The 19,236-nt window shown below is 32.4% G+C and overlaps 2 protein-coding genes across 28 annotated transcripts in view, besides 10 other annotated features; one reads left to right on the top strand and one right to left on the bottom strand.

The window, feature by feature from the left end:
* The window catches only part of RUNX2 (RUNX family transcription factor 2), a 222,753-nt gene extending 204,870 nt beyond the window's left edge, over window positions 1-17,883 (bottom strand). For 3 of the 4 annotated variants that reach the window (NR_103533.2, NM_001024630.4, NM_001015051.4), the window contains exons 1-2: window positions 17,753-17,883; window positions 17,429-17,552 (exon numbers count right to left, since the gene is read on the bottom strand). Coding sequence is in view for 2 of the 4 variants with exons in the window: in NM_001024630.4 (NP_001019801.3) it covers window positions 17,429-17,486 (58 nt within the window). In the remaining 2 variants the exon portion in view is untranslated. Of the gene's footprint in view, window positions 1-17,428; window positions 17,553-17,717 lie in introns of all 4 variants that reach the window. The other variant, NR_103532.2, reaches the window with a different exon arrangement.
* The window catches only part of SUPT3H (SPT3 homolog, SAGA and STAGA complex component), a 568,878-nt gene that overhangs the window by 31,722 nt on the left and 517,920 nt on the right, over window positions 1-19,236 (top strand). Inside the window, exon 1 of one of the 24 annotated variants that reach the window (XM_017011370.2) lies at window positions 18,019-18,171. The exons of the other annotated variants lie outside the window; for them this stretch is intronic. The gene's annotated coding sequence lies outside the window, so the exon portion shown is untranslated. Of the gene's footprint in view, window positions 1-18,018; window positions 18,172-19,236 lie in introns of those variants that run through there. 24 annotated transcript variants of the gene reach the window in all.
* Window positions 12,835-13,035: a silencer, noted in NCBI's record as "peak5825 fragment used in MPRA reporter construct". NCBI's record gives its function as "represses an SCP1 promoter by STARR-seq MPRAs in K562 erythroleukemia cells {active_cell/tissue: K562}" and the evidence as "EXISTENCE:reporter gene assay evidence [ECO:0000049][PMID:32103011]".
* Window positions 17,561-18,201: a promoter, noted in NCBI's record as "p306 fragment". NCBI's record gives the evidence for it as "EXISTENCE:reporter gene assay evidence [ECO:0000049][PMID:11604227]".
* Window positions 17,561-19,165: a biological region, named in NCBI's record as "RUNX2 P1 promoter region". NCBI's record gives its function as "regulatory_interactions: RUNX2".
* Window positions 17,764-17,809: a protein binding site, noted in NCBI's record as "TRE-site C". NCBI's record gives the evidence for it as "EXISTENCE:protein binding evidence [ECO:0000024][PMID:27253998]".
* Window positions 17,831-17,876: a protein binding site, noted in NCBI's record as "TRE-site B". NCBI's record gives the evidence for it as "EXISTENCE:protein binding evidence [ECO:0000024][PMID:27253998]".
* Window positions 17,945-18,001: a protein binding site, noted in NCBI's record as "TRE-site A". NCBI's record gives the evidence for it as "EXISTENCE:protein binding evidence [ECO:0000024][PMID:27253998]".
* Window positions 17,959-17,981: a protein binding site, noted in NCBI's record as "OSE2". NCBI's record gives the evidence for it as "EXISTENCE:protein binding evidence [ECO:0000024][PMID:12890574]".
* Window positions 18,114-18,154: an enhancer, noted in NCBI's record as "CE1". NCBI's record gives the evidence for it as "EXISTENCE:reporter gene assay evidence [ECO:0000049][PMID:12186862]".
* Window positions 19,063-19,086: a protein binding site, noted in NCBI's record as "GATA site". NCBI's record gives its function as "negative regulation of promoter activity" and the evidence as "EXISTENCE:protein binding evidence [ECO:0000024][PMID:16140555]".
* Window positions 19,159-19,165: a transcriptional cis regulatory region, noted in NCBI's record as "FRE (FOXO response element); -1269 to -1263". NCBI's record gives its function as "mediates induction of transcription by Sirt1/Foxo3a" and the evidence as "EXISTENCE:reporter gene assay evidence [ECO:0000049][PMID:21713995]".

Below are 19,236 nucleotides of genomic sequence, written 5' to 3'. Positions count from 1 at the left end.
AAGTAGAGTGAGAATCTTACACACATAGAAACTGAGAGAATGACAGGTGGTAGATGCAGGTAAGTATGTGAAAAGAGTTACAGATATGCTACTATAGGAATATGGAGGTGGATCAGAGAGTTTTCAATTTGGAGGATGAAAGCCAGTGAAAATAGTGTCGTTTGAGATTTTTCTTCAAGGATAGGCAATATTTAGCCCTGTAGAGATTTGTAGGTAGGGTGACAGTGAGGATAGGTAGGGAATATTGCAAGTACGGGAGACAGCATGATCAAAGACACAGAGGCAGGGATGAGGCATTTGGAGCAAATAGCTTACTGTGTCTAGAGAGAAACTGGGTCATAGAAAATACAGATAAAACATGATTAGTATCAAAATGTGGCAAGCTTTGGCAGACTGAGGAGTTAAGTCTTTTTCAAAGACAATTGGAAACCTTTGAAAAATGTTTGAAAGATAAAGGTACGGTGTGCATTGATACTCATTAAGAAGAATTGATAATGCATCATGTAAAATGAGTTGGCTGTGGAAAGACCTATTGTAGTAGTCCATGTAAGAGGGAATGGGAATGAAGAATAGCAAGCAAGTGTAAGTGATATTGCATAGGTTAGATTGTTAGGTCTTGGGGATTTATGAGATTAGAGAATTAGTTACCAAAAATGATTCCAAGGTTTCTATCTTAGAGGACTAGCAAGCTGATCGTGCCATTAAGCTGCAGGTTTGAGCGTTGGTTTATCATTTGTATCCTGGTTGAGGAGTCTATCATAATTATTTATAATACTAAAGGATTAAAAAATGGAAATTGAGATGAAGCCTGAAAGGAATAGAGATACAAAATTAATCTAGAAGGTAAAAGTCTGCAGAGATGCATATAATAAAGTCCCTCTGGTTGCTGAGATGGGGCAAAAGTTTTACTGTCAACCTCATAGCAAATAGGAAAACATGTCATTTGAGCATGACATTTTACAGTCTTTAACAATCAAGTGAACAGAAGTTTTATTTATAATACTAAATTGTAATAGCTTATCTTTGATATTTTTATAAAGTGTCAAAGATTTTTATAAGTATTCTGACATCTTGTATTAATATCTCATTTAAATCTCAAAACATCCATGTGAGGCAGCGCAGATGAGTGGGTAGTTTCTCCTCTGTTTCATCCCATGAGGAACGTTTTAATGTACAGCCTTTTTGTTACATAAATCAGTTTGCTAAATTCTGATTCAGCTAGGTGAAACAGATTTCTAAACTCACCAGAATGAAGCTTGGCTTCAGAGCATAGTCCATGGCAACTACTAAACTATCCTGCTTGTAAAGAGTCCCTTAAACTTCAGGGATTTAAAAATTCTGTACCATTAGTTTTACCGTCTCCCTTGTCATAGTCTGAATCTTGGCTTACTGCATTTTTAACTTCTGAAGTGGCCTTCTTTTTTAGGTCCACCAAGTATATTTCTCTTTTGTCTTAAAGGCAGACTCACCTTTCATATTTAGGATTTTTTTTCTCTAGGCTTTCCTAGCCAACCATGAAGAGCTAGTTTATACACTTTACCTAAAAAGTTAACATGCTTTTGACATTCCTGATTTTTAATGGGTTTTAAATTTGTGGTAGGCATAGCTTTTTGTGGCCTCTTAATAGTTTTTGTTGTGCATATCGTAAAGCAGTTAAGTACTTAATTGATAATGTTACTGTTCTAGACGTTCAAAGGAAAATGTACATATATGGGCTCTCCACTGGATATTTAGAATCTAAGGCACTGCTCATTTGGACATGAATGAAAAAAAAAACCATCAGAGAATGAAAACAATAAAGCACTGCATGAATGGGCAACAAAGTACATTGTTTATAGCTAAGGGCAAGTCAGTTTTAAGGGTGGAGAGCAAAAATAAGTATACAGACAAGGGGAAGTTTAGGCCAAGTATAAATGAAGTGGTTCCCAACTGTATAAGAAATAAGATTGAAAATTCTGGTTCAAGTAGTCTAAGAAACCCCTGCAGAGGAGCTAAACTTCTAGGAACTTTGTCATGGTCTAACTCTTTGTATACTACTAAGTATTTAGTGGATGTTCTTTCTCTTTGTCATATCCACTTCATATCAACTTTTATCTCTCCGAATAAAAGGAATTTGAATTGCTCTTTAGTTTGACAATTTTTCATATATACAATTGTCTCATATTTTCTGTTTTATTCAATTAGTAGTCATGGAGAGGAAAAAAGACAGGAATAGGCACCTGTGATTGTAAAATATTTTACCAGTAAACAACTAGTATAGAATATCAAGGGCAACTGGTTATAAAATGAAAGCCTGTAGACCTGTCAGGTGGAGGTCTTTGATGGCTAAGATTCTAATATGGGTTATTAAAAGCATGATTTTAAGCACCTAGAAGGTGAGTAGTTGGAGCCAAATGGTTTTCCTCAGCAGTAGTCATGCCTCACAAACTTCTGTGTTACATCAGAGCTACTGGATAGCTGTCTCAGGAACATGGGACAGAGACACCATTTTTAAACTTCATCAAGGCTTTTCACAAGCTTGTGGTGAGACATCATTGACAACATGAAGAAATATAGACTAGTAGCTAGTTCGTACTGTTATGCAACTTAATAATTTGCAGAATGTCTCAAATTATTGAAGGCATTTTTTACAAGAGAGAGTTATGTACATAGGACCTTCTCTCTTAATCAGTCATTGTGGGTAAACTGAGGGGTGTATGAATGTGAAAATTCTATTCAGGTTTGAAAAGCTGCCTTTTGGAGGTGCAATTATTATAGATTAGATGATCTCTGTTAGTCTCTCGAGTCCTTCAGAATTAAGAGTAAACTACCAGGTGCTCTTCACTCAGTATCAGAACTCTGAAACAGATCAAGTGAACAACTTTAGGGACCTTTAGTAGAGAAGGGGTTTCACCATGTTGGCCAGGATGGTCTTGATCTTCTTGGTCTGCCCGCCTCGGCCTCCCAAAGTGCTGGGATTACAGGTGTGAGCCACTGCACCCGGCTGAGATTCTGCATTTTTAACAAGCTTTCAGGTCATGCTGATTCTGCTGTTTTGTGAGCCACACTATGAGTATGAGTTTAGACTTAAGATGATTTAAGGTTTGGAAAGTTGATTATATTTAATAATTGTAATGCTTTTGTCAGATCAGTGTAGACACTTTACATTTTATTTAACTGGAAACTTTCAAGGTAGGTGGTAATATTTTTACAGATGAGGAAATTGAGACACAGGGAGCTTAAATGTTGGTTGCTCAGGGTTATGTACTAGGCGCTATAACTGGAATTTAAACTTAACACCAAAACCCCTGCTGTCCTTGTGTTTCCATGACATTCTATGGTTTTCATGAGAATACTTTTTCGATTTACAAATATCTTGTAATTGGAGGACTTTGTTCTGTTTCTTACAACTTGAGCATGAAAAATTAAAAACATTGTTCTTCATATGTATTTTTTTGTATGGGTTCAGGAAAAATAAGCTTTTAAAACATTAACGCAAACTATTAACTAAATTTTTGAAATTTTATGTATTGATGGTTTTTAATTGAAAAATATTGGCAAATAAAAAAAAAGGCTTCCAAAATCCTGCTACTGTGTAAACCTTATATTATGACTGTTTTGAGTTCCTCTGATATAGAGGCACTCTCATATTATTTTTAAAAATGGAGATTGTAGGGCTGGGTGTCGTGGCTTATGCGTGTAATCGCAGCACTTTGGGAGGCCAAGGCGGGTGGATTACGAGGTCAGAAGATCGAGACCATCCTGGCCAACATGTTGAAACTCCATCTCTACTAAAAATACAAAATTATCTGGGCGTGGTGGTGCGCACCTGTAGTCCTAGCTACTCGGGAGGCTGAGGCAGGAGAATCGCTTGAACCCAGGAGGCGGAGGTTGCAGTGAGCTGAGATTGTGCCACTGCACTCCAGCCTGGTGACAGAGCGACACACTGTCTCAAAAAAAAAATTGAGATTGTGTTATATATAACTTAGTATTCTATTTTTTTTTCACTAGGCACAACTGTAGTGACAAAGAGAACTCATTCTATTTATAATAAAAACCCTTTCCTATTTTCCTCATGATCATTGGCACCATCAACCATTCTGTCCTAAGTGGCAGTCTCATTTTCCTTATTCTTTGCCTCTTCCATAACTGCTGCCAAATTCTTCTGTTAGTTTCTTTGTAATATCTCTTCAACTTGCCCATATTTTTCAGTCCAGTCTCCGTTTTTTTTTAATGCTAGGTTAATAACTACTAAATCACCATGTTATTTGTGAATTTATTCTCTGCTGTTTTGGTTGACTGTTCTGGCTGTACACAGAACCTTTTGTCTATCTTCATACATCTTTTTAGTGGCTTCTGATGAAATAAGTGTGAATAATTGTAGGGTTTAAACTAAAAGCGATGAATTATCTTAGTGTGTCATTTTTAATTTGTAACCACATCTTTTTCTAACTTCTTGCCTTCATTGCCAGATAGGGTACCAGAATCTGAGAACTTGTAATAATATTGCTACTGCTGAGGACTTTTAACTATCTGTTATTCCGTAGTTATTTTCATGTGTATACATTTTGCCATTTCATTCCTTTCTTTTTGTTACCTCGAGTCTTATGCCATTGTACTCTTTATGAAGTTGCGGAGACAAACTCACTTTTAACCTTTTTCAGTGGATGTTTCTAATGAAAACTAATATGAAAATTTGTGTTTTCCTTTTAAAATGTAGTTATGACTTTATACTTGCATATGTATTTATTTTAGTGTGATCCTACCTCATGTAGCTTTTAAAAGTTGTTAGTTTGCTCATTAAAATATTACCTATCAAGTTAAATATAGGTGCAGAATGATTGGAGAAGTCTGTTGAGATTCATAGATCCCCAAACAGCTTTTCTCTTTTCCTTAGTGCTTTATCTTTGCAAAATATCTCATGTATCATATCATAACCTATGGTTTCTAATCAGCATTTTTTCTCAAAACCATATAGACTGAAAAATATAATCTCATAGCTTTATTCCTACCCTCTGCCAGAGAAAAAAGCGGAGCACTTTTGTGGCTTGTTTGAGAACTTTTTGTTTTGAGTAATAATGTGGATAATTGTGGTTAAAATTGGGGTGAATAGTACATGTCAAGGATTTACTTCTTAGAATCTTGTGCAGTATTTTTTTGGTAGGCACAGGAAAAAGTACACTTACTAGTGGATTTTTGTGAATATCAAATGAATTAGAATTTAAGAAATTATAATTAGAAGTTAAAGCTTAGAAATAAAGGTTGTCTGGATCACTTAGCATATGTGTAGGGGTATAGGTCTTTGTAAATGGGGCTATGAGACCATAGTATAAGGAATGCTACAGATAAATATAGGAAGTAGGATTTGATTCCAGATCTGACACCAAAGCCTATGATTATAATCATATTTATGATACAAGATTATTTTAATTTTATAAATGAGGATTAGACATTCTTGGTGTTTAAGTGTTTAATTTTTTACCCCTAAATTATATTTTTATATCACATAGAGTATATATGTGTATTGTGGACATTAAGACTATTAATTATAATGATTAAGAATTATCTAATTCCTTGAAACTTTTTTTTTCTGATCAAACTCGACCTAAAGGCCAGGTGCGGTGGCTTATGCTTATAATCTCAGCACTTTGGGAGACTGAGGTGGGAGGATCGCTTGAGCCCAGTAGTTCGAGACCAGCCTGGGCAACATGGCAAAAACCTGTCTCTACAAAAAATTACAAAATTATCTGGGCGTGGTGGTGCGTGCCTGTAGTCCAAGCTACCTGGGATGCTGAGTCGGGAAGATCCCTTGAGCTCAGGAGGTCAAAGTTGCAGTGAGCTGTGATCATGCCAGTGCACTCTAGCCTGGGTGACAGAGTGAGACCTTGTCTTGAGGGGGAAGGGGGCTTAACAAACCTCACCTTAATCTTATTCCTTGATATACTTTTATTTTTTCTTAATCTCTTTGGTTCTGTCAGATTAGTATTTCTTAAAGATATGTGGCAGGGTAATTTGAAGACTCCAGGATTATCTTCTTGTTTGTATTTTATTGGTTTAATAACTTTAGAATAATTATGTTTCTGAGAACTAACACCTTTACAGATGAAATTGATTGAGGACTAGGAAGTAACTTCATTTAGATCATGTATAACACTGTAAAGTGGTAATTAAGAGTTAAAAGGCTTGGGTTGGAATCCCATCTCTTCAACTCTGTAACCTTGAGCAAGTTCCTTTACCTCATTCTCAGCTTCCTCATCTGTAAATAATTATGATACATGTCTCATATAAGGGAGTTGTAAGAATTAAAGGAAATAATGTTTATAAATGGCTTAGCATAGTACCCGGTACAGTAAACGCTCGACAATGAAAGCTAACAAAGTACAGTTTCAATTAAGGTATACTCTATAAAAATTATAGACTATGTTAGTTACATTGATTTTTCAAAATATGTTGTCTAATTAAATTAAAACTTTAATAAATTTTAAATAATTTAAAACAACATTTAAAATAAAGTTTTGGATTAGATTGATTATGTACTTAGAATAGCTATTTGAACCTAATAGAAAAATAAGAATATTAATGTTTTTGGCTATAGTCATCTTATGGAATCCTCTGTACTTCTTATTTTCCTTATTAATATAGCTTGTTAAACACAACTTTATTTTTCTTATTAATATTACTGGTTAAACACATAACCATTGACTATCACCTCTATTGGAAGAAAAGGAAGGAAAGAAAGGAACTAATTTTTTCTTGTGAACAAGCTTTACAAATGTTTATTGGGGACACAATTTGGAATTAATATATTTTGGATATGCATTTTGTCTTTAGCTTATTTCTAGGAGTATTAAAAGTTGGCTATCTATTGGCTCACAATCTTGGCTAATTTATCTAGGGAGTTTTGTTTTAAAAAAGTTCTGAAGGCTTTCTCTCCACAAGCTGCTCTTCCCCAAGACTTACTCCCCAGGTAATTCTGTTGATCAGCCAGATTTGGATACCACTGTAACATAAGAAGTCTTGTATAGGCTAGTGAATTCTTTAATGGAATACTCTTTCAATCCCTTTTTTCTTAAAGCCTTATAGTCAAGTAATAAGATTACTTAGCCTTATAGTCAAGCAATAAGGCCATAACTATCTTAGTTTGCAAGATATTTATGGCAAGTATGTCTTCTTTAATGTAAATATTCTTATTTTTAATTTTTCTTCTTATATTACCTTATTTCTATGTTTTATGTCACCCTGCTTATTACATGTCATTTTATACTCACATGAGTGTAAATAGTTTATACTTATGTGTCTTCAGCTCAGGACTAGAATTTGTATGAGGCAAGCAAAGTGCCTAGGGCACAAAATTTAAGGAGGCTGTCTCTTTGAGGACTGTGCAAGAGTGAGTACCTCCTTAAATTTTGTGCCCTGGATGCCTCCCTTGTCTCATCCAGAGAAATAGGCTGCATATAAATTATTTTTATTTTAGTTTAGCATAATCTCATGCATACTTGGATGTTTTATAAAAAAATTGATGACAAAACGAAATAGTATAGCTGAACCCAAATTTATATTGCCCAGTATAAAAATAAATTAACTATTTGAGAAAGATAGTATTATTATTTTTATCACATGGTCAGTAACCCTCAGAGCTTCCTAAATTCCAGTTCAGCAGAATCTTGTTTGACACTGAAATACACTTGGTTGTTTTACCTACTGGCAGCTACCTGAAATCAGTGCTCTTGTAGCTGTCAAAGTTTCTTAATTCAAAATATAGTACCATCAGCTTTTTATATAAGCTTATATGTGATCATTTGAAGTAATCAGAAATGATACCAGTTTTATTGTATTTTTATTACTGATTTTAGAATTTCTTGAGAAGTTGCCTATAATTTTTTTTTTTTATGAGAGCTACATCTGGAAATGCTCAAAAGTTGTTTGCCTTTTTTGAGAGAACAATCTGCAGTGAAAGTATAACTTCTTTAGAGGTGATGTTTAAGTTAGCAAATGCTGAACCATAATGTGAGGAAGCATAATATTGTGAATTATTTGGCAAACATACCTAATACAGGCATTAGCTGTTGAAACCATTTGTAAAGTACAACTTACAGAAAGCTAGAAAGATAGGCTACACAGAACTTTATCTGTAAACTCTGAGGATGAAAACTAGAGTACAACTTAAGTTTATTCAATAAAGACTAAATTCTGTAAGTTTAAGTTTGATTTGTTTATAGGTTCCATGATTAATGTGTAATTAGAGTATGAAAGAAGCATTTAGAATCCTTTAAAATTTATAGGTGATAACATCATTGTCAAGTCAGGAGTTTTGTTTCTTAAAGTTAGAATTTACTTAAATATACTTTTTCTCTAAAAAAATAAAATCTTATTTCTACTTACAGTAGTACCAAAGTGAGTTTTCGCAAAAAGAATTATTTAATATGTATTTAATATTTGTTTCAAATAAACAAAAATAAACATAACAACCAACAGTGGAGGGGCGTCTTAGATTTGTTTTTAGCTTTCTTTTTCATGGCTTCTAGAAGTGTATCATATTATAAATACATTCAAAATGTTTTGCTCTGAGGATATGTAGCATTCCTATAAAGGTTAAATCAATAAAAATGATTTGGACACATTCCTAAGCATGGCTAGAACAGGTAGTCCGTTGTTTTAGGTACCCTTGAGTTTCTGGAGCAGATCATTATGGCGTAGCAAAAGAACTTACTAAAAGTTGCTTTCTATGTGTAGATGCATCAGCTTAAAAAAATAAGATTTTCTGGCCTTCTAGAAATGAGTATTTTTAGAGTAACCCTTGTATATATTGATTTAATTATATATTTTAAATGCAGTTAAAGTTTTGGAGCTTTTTTTTCTTCGAATGCTGGAGATACACCATAATTGATAAGGAAGAGGTACGTACAGGAAAAATGCAATGGCAAGCTTTTCCAGCAAATTTAGAATAAATGACAGTCTTATGGTTAAAGAAAGTATCACACATTATAATTGCAAAATAGGGATTGGATGTGATTCTTTTTAGTCTTGCCAGTTTAGAAAAAAATTCTGTAAGTCATTGGCATGTTGTTCTGTTCATATGGGCAGTTCAAAAGGCAAGCTTTAATTTGAGCTTTTATTTTAGAAAGCATATGTATATCTCCTATGTTCGGGGTTGGCTTCTCACTATATTATTGTTGCTATGTAGTTTTATGCATTTGCTTGCATTTTTTGTGTTCATGTCATAAGTTTTAAGTATGTAAGTTTTCAGATCACACTGTTTTCACAGCAAGTTTCAAAAAATATTTTTATGCCAGTTTATAATAATGAGTAAGGCCATTTTTATTAAAGTTTCCTTTAAAACAGCATTTAAGATGTTTCTGGATCAAAAAAATTAAGTGAATTGACCATGTATTTGAATGAAGAAAGTTTAAAACAGAGGTAGAAAATTTGAGTTACATGTATTATTAATGAAGTTATATTATAGAAAATCACTTCCTATCTTTTTGTACATCTAATATGTATTTACTTTGTAAGTAAATACTTTATTAAAAATACTGTGTTACAGTATTTCTTGGAGCACAGGATTTAATTTTATAGTCAAGAAAATTGTTTGAATACGTCTGAGTAAAAATTTATTGTACATATATAGAGTGGTTTAACCATTTAATAATTAAATAATTTAGCAATTTAAGCCAAGTATTTTGATGTTTTAAAAAATATTTAAGTGTATCTTGATAGATTCTGATTTTAGTGTGTCTTGTGTCTTGATAGGACCAGAATATTTATGAAAATAAAAATAAGCCTAATAATCAGCACATGGCTCTAAATTTTCTTCCTGGGTACTTGTGAGTGATAATGTTAAAAACAGATCACTTTATGTGTTTTCTCTAGTCCTATTGGTGTACAAAAATATTCTGCAATATGCTTATGCGTGTTATAAGGGAGGGATATTGTTAAATCTTTACTACATAATCAAGAATAAAGCTTTCGTGACAGTACTCATTGTCCTTATCTAGCTAACACTTTTAAAATGAAGTGGTTACTAGTGGTAAAAAGTTTTTAAAATGTTAAGTTTTCCTTCTAAATTACAGAGAGAGAAATAATGTATATGTGTTTGGTTTTGAAAACTGGGAGAATAGAAGAATTCTGGGTGGACACTGGAGTTTATAATATGTGAAAAGGAGTTTCTTCTGTGGAAAGGAGGTTGGATTAATGATCAAAAGTTGGAGTACATTGACTTGTATATTTCCATTTCTTTAGAAATACACTGTAGCACATTGTCTTTGTAAGTAGTATCTCCATAGGCATTATCTTCTTAAATATTTCATTTTTGCATTGACTCTTATAAGAGCAGTAGCAAGTTTTTCTGCATTTTGTCAAAAGCTGAATTACCGAAATGCTTTACAGATTTCATGAGAGGTAAAAAAATTAATCTTATTAGATTATCTTTTGTAACCATTTATCCTGCCTAATGTTAAGATGCTGTTGTCTTGATGGGAGTTTTCTCATAGATTACTTCATGGTGTCTTAATATTTTTGAATTGGGTGTTAGGTTCTTAGTATGAAATGCTTATGTACTTTCACAGGTATCAGCTTTATGGAAAACACAGTGATTGATATAATGTGGATTGTTAGCATAAAGAAGTTTCCTTTCTGTGATCCTGTACAGTTGTTACAGATATCTGTAATCTGACAGTTTATGAAATAAAATGAGAATTTACTTTTATCTAAAAAAATGTATTTTAATGAGCTGTGTTTGCATTAAAGTATCTTATAATAAAATTGTAATTGATTGAAGAGAATCCATACTGTGTACCTTTTTGATACACATGGATTTTCTAGGATCGTTATAGTGATACAGCAGTAGGTTGACATGTTGTAAAATGTAATACCATATTACATAGTAAAATAAATGTCATGATCCTTTCTTTTAAGCTTCAAAGTAAATTCACATTGTTTAGATACATTTAAATAATTTGTAATCATTTAGTAAAATTATATCTTTTCACTTAAAATTATATTGGGAATTTGAAGTCTTAAACTGGGAAGTTCAGTACAGAAATTTAAAAAGAAAGTTAATTCTAGCAATTATCATAGAAAAATTAGAAATTCAATGCTTAAATTGTTTACCCAGGTTACATGGTCAATGAGAAAATATACCTGTTTAGCTTCAAGCCAGAGTTGTTCTTTGAGATAATATTTATAAATAGGAATCTATTAGCAAATTAATTCCATTCATATTTGCCCTTATAAACTCTAATACTTTGTTTAACTGATATCAGTTTTTAATTATTGTTACTTAAGTTTATAACTGGAAAATAACATCTTTGGATTTTATAAGATTGATTATTTTAGTCTTGAAATTCCTAGTAGATGCCTAATCCCTGTTACTGGTTTTATAGATTGACATTTGTTAACTTACATGCAAAAAAATTTTGATTATATTTCATGACAGAACTATAGTACCTCAGTTACATAATTTACAATTTTTTTCCTGGTTTATAATCATTATTACAAGTTCTGTAGTCATTGGTGTGAATGCATTCACACTCATGCATGTGTATATGCCATGTATAAAAATGTTAAGACAAACATAGCCAGAAGAAATTTAAGTTGAACATATATGACACGTATTTTGTTTCGGTGTAAAAATACATCGTGTTCATGTGAAGTTCTGTGGAATATCACGTTATTATTCTGATATTTCTAAAGAAAGACTGCATATATATGTATTCAAACCTTATTGATGATTGTTATTGTGATTTGGCTAGCATTTAACTTTGTCTTTTTTTTTTTTTTTTTTTTGCTTTTCCTGAAGCACAAAATAGATGTAGGTGTAAGATACATGACTATAAGGAATATGTAAATAATGGTATGGTTCATGTAATTTAGGGGAACCTACAAATGTGTATTTAAGTTCTTGAGTTTTAACTTAGTCTATTATGTAAATATATGTTTATAGTTGATGGTATATAATGATTCTGGTAGACATCATTGATGTAAAAAATCGATGTAACTGAAATGTAAAATAAAATTACCTTATTTGACTTTGTGGTGAAAATTATTTGCCTTACATAGGATATTTAGATATACCTTTTTAGAAATGTCACTAATCTGATGTAACTAATGTATAATTAAGAGAATTGGCAATAGGAATAGTAGAGATAAAAGAGTCTTTAAACTGTTTGCCAAAATAATCTTAGATATATTTCTGGGAATAATGTTAACTTGGTAAATTTTCTAACATCAGTATGATAATTTTTAAATATCTCAAACATTATCGAAATTGCGTATGTATATATGTCAGAGATTTCCTTGTTTTGTGGGCAGTTGATTTAAAAGATGAAAATCATCTAATCAAGGTAAACATTTATCTTTTATTTAGAGCTCAAGTCACCCTTGGTATGATTTTTGTTCCTTGGGTGTATATTGGATTTATGAGTATTAACAAGAATATAGAGTAGAGGAAGTGCATGAATAACAATTTTTTTCTCTTCATGTATTAAGTACTTATGTAGCAACTAGCCTTTAAAGGCCTGTTTTAATTCTACAGCTCATCTTATTTGGGGATTGTTTTTTATATCAGGTTAAATGATATAAAAAATGATTGTTTTTTATATCATGTTAAATGATGCAGTTTCTGTTTATTAGTGTTTATGAAAAACTTTGCTTTAGTTAGGCTTCTTTCTATTCAGCAGTAACAACAAAACCTAAAGTGTTTGATAACATGTTGCTTACATCCACTCAACACTGTTCCAAATCTTGAGTCCTATGCCCTTAATAAATAGTATAAAGGGGAGGAAATTCCTAAGAATTCTACATAAAGTGAAGATACTGTATACAGTAAAAGAGCATTTAATCTGAATTGCTATACAGGTCTTAAAACAGTTGTATGGGAATGTATGGTCTGTTTCATGTGTATGTGCTGTTGAATGGACAAAAGCTTGTGGTTGACTGTGGTTAAAAATGTAAGGAAACTCCCTTTTAATAAGGTATAGAATTTCCCTGTTATTTTTTGAATCGTAACACATTAATCAAAAAATATATCCAGTGAATTTCATAATCTTTTTGAAATGGCAAGAGATTATATTAAGGCATAAAATTTCATTATGTGAGACTTCTTTTAAAGATTTGTTTTAAGATACTAACATCTCAGATTTGATGAAGAATTTTCACATGCTTTAGACAGTTAGCTTAGAATATTTTATTATTTAGAAAATACCAAGTATTGGAGTTCATTGTTATCTTTATTATGGGAGTTTTATGATTTTTTGGGGGGTGAGGAGAGGCAGAATTTTATCTATCTTCAGTGGAAGTTGCAGCGTTCATTGGTATAGGAGAAAAAATAGTACATTAAGGTAACGTATTGAGAAGTCTCTGCTTAAATTACCATTGGATCTGCTAGCACCTGATTAGTAATGTCTGACTTGTGAGTGACTAGAAAAAATAGTTATGCTTTGCCATAATTACAATTTTAGTATTTGCAGGAAGGATTTTTTTCACATTGAGTTGATGGCATTTGTCTATTTGGTCACATGTTTTTATATATTTTTAATAGATGCTATAGAGGTAGACTGTTTCGGTGAATCCTTCATATAAAATGTCTAAAGATTTTTGTTAGGTAATAGTATTTGCAGTTTTAATGCATTTAATGAGCTTTTGCATGACTTCACTATTGACTTAGAGTTGTCATATCTTAGTATCCTAGAACAAAGGTTAGAACAGTATGGAAGATTGGTATTTGTATGCTTTGGAGAGGGATTTGAGATGTTACCCTGTTTTGCCGTCAATTTTCAAGTATGCACGGGTGCATCATTAATCATGAGAAATGCAAAAATAAATAATATAGTCCCATTGGATTTTTTTCTATGAATACTTACCTTTTCCTTTTTTTTAAATATATATATACAGTTGAGGTATTTAGGTAACCCCTAACCTTTTGCTTCAACAAAGAAGTACAGTATAAAAATATTACCACAGTTTTCATGTGAGCAGCTCTTGAATCGGGGGGAGGGGGAAAGCCCTCTAGATGAATATTTGTTGAAAAAAAAAGTTGTGATACAGAATGTCTTAACTCAGCCTCAGTACAGTACTTGAGGACCACCAGTGTGTAAAATTGAAAGCACATGAATTTTGAAGCACTAGAAAAGGTTTGTAATTGATTAGCGCTGCTTTAAAGTATTGGAGTACAGTGAGTTTTGATTTGTGAATGGTTCTATTCAATAAATATTAATTCTGTGTGTTTGATAAAATCTTAGTGCCTTCAATGAGTTAGCTCCCCCCGCCCCTGCAGTTTATTTAACCATCAAATATTTCAGTGTTCTTTTAACAAACTGGAACATTTCTATCTTACCGAATTTAACTTTAGCATGACTGATTTAAACAAGTCAAACTATCAGTTGTTAGCTGGAAGAGAGTAATTGAATAAATTAATATTTTGTTCTTTTAAGATAACTAAAATATATCATAATGTAATCATGTATATTTCATGCCTTGTGATATAGAGACGGATTGATCAGGAGAGTCAGACAGACCAGCCAGATCTTTTTCCACAATTTCTTTTCAGTGTTTTAGATTTCAAAACATTTTTTAAAAATAAAAACTAAAAATCTTTAACAGTTTGTAATGTAAAATTAGGATTATTATAATTTAAAATAATTTATATGAGTCTTTGGGAATTACTTTGACATTTTTAGCTTTTGATATGTGTTAGAGTGATTTTCTGTGTTTGTTCTTAACTTTGTAATTCTGCTCCCTAGTTTTGGAATTTAGCTCTGTATTTTAAAAAGAAGCTATAAAACTTTGTCACTACTGAATCTTGAAACTATAAATATATTATTGATATGGACCACAATTGCTGTTTTGGAAATCAGTGTTCACACATCATGTTCAAGCAGTTACAAAGATTTTATGTAGATAATCAGTCAGCTGATATATTTTCATGAGTCATTAATTTTAAGATACTCTATGAGTCACATCTGTGATTTTCAGCAAGCTATATTTATGATAAATGATGGACAGATTTTGAGTAGTACAGATTGAAAATTTTTGATTAACTCAAAGTGAAGTATGCTGAGAGATCAAGGACACAGACATACTCTTTCTCTAGCATGTGCGCGCGCGCGCGCACACACACACACACACACACACCACTCATTGTATTTGAGGTGAAGCAGTTGTTAATGTGTGCTTTGTACCTCACCTAGGAAAATCCTAAACTTTCTTTTTAACTATTTTACAAAATTGGGGCACATACTTAAGACATTTCATTAGGTGGTGGTGATAATCATTATATAAAAATCTAAAGCCTGAAGTGAGGTTTTAGGCTTTGCATAGATTATAGAATGGGGAAATGTTTGCAATGTGATAACATATACATGATGTCCACTACTCACCTGTAATTAGTCTGAGGTAGTGGGTTGATGTTAAGTTCTCTATTCAGGCTTCAAGATACTGTTTGGGGGCTGGCGGGGAGGGAAGGTGCAGCCCACTTTTCAAAAGAGGAAGAACTGGTTGTAATGTTGGAAAAAAAAAAGGTTCACTACCATGCCTTGCTTAGAATCCTGTCAAGTTTTGGAAATTTTGAATAGTTATTAAGAATGTTACAGAAGTATAAGATCCCTGTTATGATAGAATAAGAAGCAGTTTAATATATTCTTTGTGAGAATTTTAACATATTCTTCATGATAACTTTACTTCTAATACTGAAGAATTTTTTGAAACTTGTGTTGTTCCTGATCTGGTTTTTAAAATGTGTTTAAAATAAATAGTTAAACAGAGTGATAACGTGAAAGAGTAACTTAACTGCCTCTGTTATCCCTCCCTGATATCTCTGTTATCCCTGTTTCAAGTTATCCCTCTGTGTAACAGTAGTTTTAACTATTCTTTTTCCTTTTATCTCTTGGGTAGTAGTAACAAAACTTTCGATGTATAAGCTGTAATTATGCTATGTGTTGTAATGTAGTCTAGCTGTGTTTATGTCCTGCTTCCTTAATATAGAAGTTTTTAGAGTAATACTTGGTACCCATCATTAAAATTTTAAATTAATCTGTGATTATTATATTGTATATATTATAACTGAGGGGGCCCACTTACAGCTATTGAGGGAGTCACTAAAGCAATTTTACATTTTTTTTTGTAAAATACAAAGTACATTTCCTCACCCTGTAAGAGAAACCATTTTTTCTCCCTTCAGGTTTAATTATTTCTGTTTGACCTAAACTGAGACTGATCCTCTAGTAGTATCCAGTTAAAATGTGTGAAGTAGGAGGAGTAAAGGAAACTCCAGTCATTAGTTGTAAGTTAAAAGCAGAGTTAATATAGATGTACACAGCAAGAAGGTTTATTTTAATGGATATAAGAAAAATTTTTGAAAACTTGCCTTGTAGTTGGAACATGTTGGAGATCATAAAGAGAATCTTGTAAGTGTGTTTAGATATTTTGCTATAATAACACATCAGCTGATGAATGTTAAAGTCATTTACATATCTGTATCAACAGTAACTTGAAATTAAATATTAAGGGACAAGATTATGCCTACTTCTTTTAAAGTCCAGCATGGTTTAATAGTTGTGGCTTTTAAAAATCATACAGGGTATCCTTATGGAGCTTTATTTTTCATGAGACTAAACAGCAGTTATTCATTTTGGTAGGTCCAAGAATGTGATTAAAAGAATCTTAGACGTTTCAGTGTTTCAGTGTGTTTATAACAAGGTCTATGGATAACAGTGTGTAGATGTAAAATTAAAATTACATAGAAAAATGCAGTTGCATGTAAGTTTTAAAATACTTCCATGAACTTTTTAATATCCTGGGCAACTATAAAGATCTTTTAAAAATGGCTGTGATGTGCTTATCATAATTTTATTTCAGCTGAATGTATACTTATATAAAGTTGTTTAGAAACAAACTTATTTAGATAGGATACAGTTTGAATTTATAAGTAGATTTCTTTTAGTTGAGCTGGTTAAAATGTTAACTGTACTACAGGTTTATTTCTGTGTTATACATGGTAGACCATAATGTTGAGATAATTCTGTGGTCTGTTATTTTGTAAAATTGCTTCCTTTTTGAAGTTTGCTCAAATATTGGGAGCTGCCGGAGTCAATAATTTATAATGCTTTGATTAATTTAGGATCTGACTTTTCTTCTGGTGAGGGTTAATGAGAGTATTAAACTGTTTCTTTTACTGTTTTCATATCCTCACCTCTATAACTCTAGAAAACATTTTGATCAATGTGAGATAATTTAATTTTGTATATTTCAAGTCATTACTTTGAAAATTAGATACATTACAGATACCAAATGCAAATATATACAGAAATTTCATTTTTCAATTCTTAATGCAACAAGATAGCATAATTAGGATCTTTAATATGCTATTTGGAAAAGCTAGCAGTTTATCAAAGAATCATACCTTTATGTTTAACAGGTTCATATCTTACAGGATTTTAAAAATGGTAACACTTACCCCAAAAGAAGTTTTGCTGACATGGTGTCACTGTGCTGAAGAGGCTGTTTGATGCCATAGTCCCTCCTTTTTTTTTCAGATAGAACTTGTACCCTCTGTTGTAAATACTGCTTGCAGCCTTAAACTGAAAATACAAACCATACCCAAACCTTGTTTTAGTTTTACAGTATGCCTGGAGTACATAGACTTTATATTTATTTTTTTCTGTCAAGAAATTATGTAGCTGGTAACATGTGAAAAGCAAAGAAACAAAACAAAAAGAGAATGAGCAAATATTTGAAGGACCTACTATTACTGCATAGACTGTGGTTAGAGAGCACTCACTGACTCTGTTGGTCTCGGTGGCTGGTAGTGACCTGCGGAGATTAACCATTTAAAAACCAGAGACTTCTTGCTGTCCTCCTGGAGAAAGTTTGCACCGCACTTGTGGTTCTGTGGTTGTTTGTGAGGCGAATGAAGCATTCACACAATCCAAAAAAGCAAAAGCTTTAAAACTCCTTTTTTTTGCAAGCACTATTACTGGAGAGGCAGAATCATGTGGTTTGTGACCTCACAGTACTCTTAAGTAAAGTGGGACTGCCTACCACTGTGGCTTTTCCCCCTTGCTCTTTCTCTCTCTCTCTTTCTCTCACAAAAGGCTTGTGGTAAGGCCTTTCCTGGCATCCAGAAGGATATAGCTTTTTAATTTTTGTGACTCATGAGGATTTGGATAGAATACAAATGCTGAAGGAGCCCAAACTCCTGTAAGGTTAAGCATTTGTAGAGCAGAGCTCTGCAGTTAAGGGCTTTCCTTTCTACTCCCCGCTCAACCTCTGCCTTTTTGCCTCCTCTTTTTAGTTCATTATTGTGTCTGTGGAAAAATGAACAAAATTGGCTCAAGAGTCTGTGTGAAATTCTGAACAACAGTGATGATATACAATAATTCACATCTTTGGACTGTATCACATTCTGGGGTCTGCTTCATATTTGCTGGGTGGCTGGATTCCTTCTGTTTTCCTTTTTCTTGTCTTCTTAAACTTGTGAATCTGTAACTCATTGTAAAAAAAAAAAAAGTTTACCTTAAGGTCTGGTTGCAAACTGCTTGCTAGGCTTGACTATAATTGGCTGTCATGAAAGTGTTAGTCTGGGCATTCTTTTACAAATTTTAAATCACGTCTGTCTAGTTTATTATCAATCTATTAGATGGCGGCCTTTACAATAAAGATTAAATGTAATGTTTCATGTATACCATTATCTCATGCCTAGTTTGAAGATCTTAAAAAAATGAATGACAGGGATTGTAATATAGTTTATTGGATGAATCTTAGTTTTCTTTATGATTGTAATATTTTTTGTCTTTCATTGAAGTGTATTCAGTTTATATAGTTCTTTAAGTAGTTTAGACATTAATAGAGTTTCTGATAGCAGATCTTCTATAAAGTAAAATGCTTATGTTATAATGTAGATTGTTCAGTATTTGATTCTATGAGCTTAGAATAGAGTGGGTTAACAGAAGCTATGTATTTTTTTGTTTCTAATGGAAGCTTTGAAATAAATTACAAAATGCTGTGTGTAGTAAGGAATAATGCCCACAGACAGAGTATGTTAGTCGTCTCGATTTGCTAATTCTGATTCAGAAGAAAATTGGAAACATCTTTGGGAAACTATCTCCTTTTTTGCCCCTTTGGACAAGTATGTATAGAACTCATTTTCTTATTAGGATGATTATATATCATAGGCAGTGAATTTTATATTTATGAATAGAGCTTCCTGTTTTCATCAGTTGGGAGCGATGGAGTATTTTTCAACCAAAATTATAAAGGCGAACA

The sequence above is a fragment of the Homo sapiens genome, chromosome 6 (genome assembly GCF_000001405.40).
Source record: "Homo sapiens chromosome 6, GRCh38.p14 Primary Assembly".
Classification (NCBI taxonomy): domain Eukaryota; kingdom Metazoa; phylum Chordata; class Mammalia; order Primates; family Hominidae; genus Homo; species Homo sapiens.
Note: the sequence above shows the minus strand (reverse complement) of the source record. Positions and strands in the feature narration are given on the sequence as shown.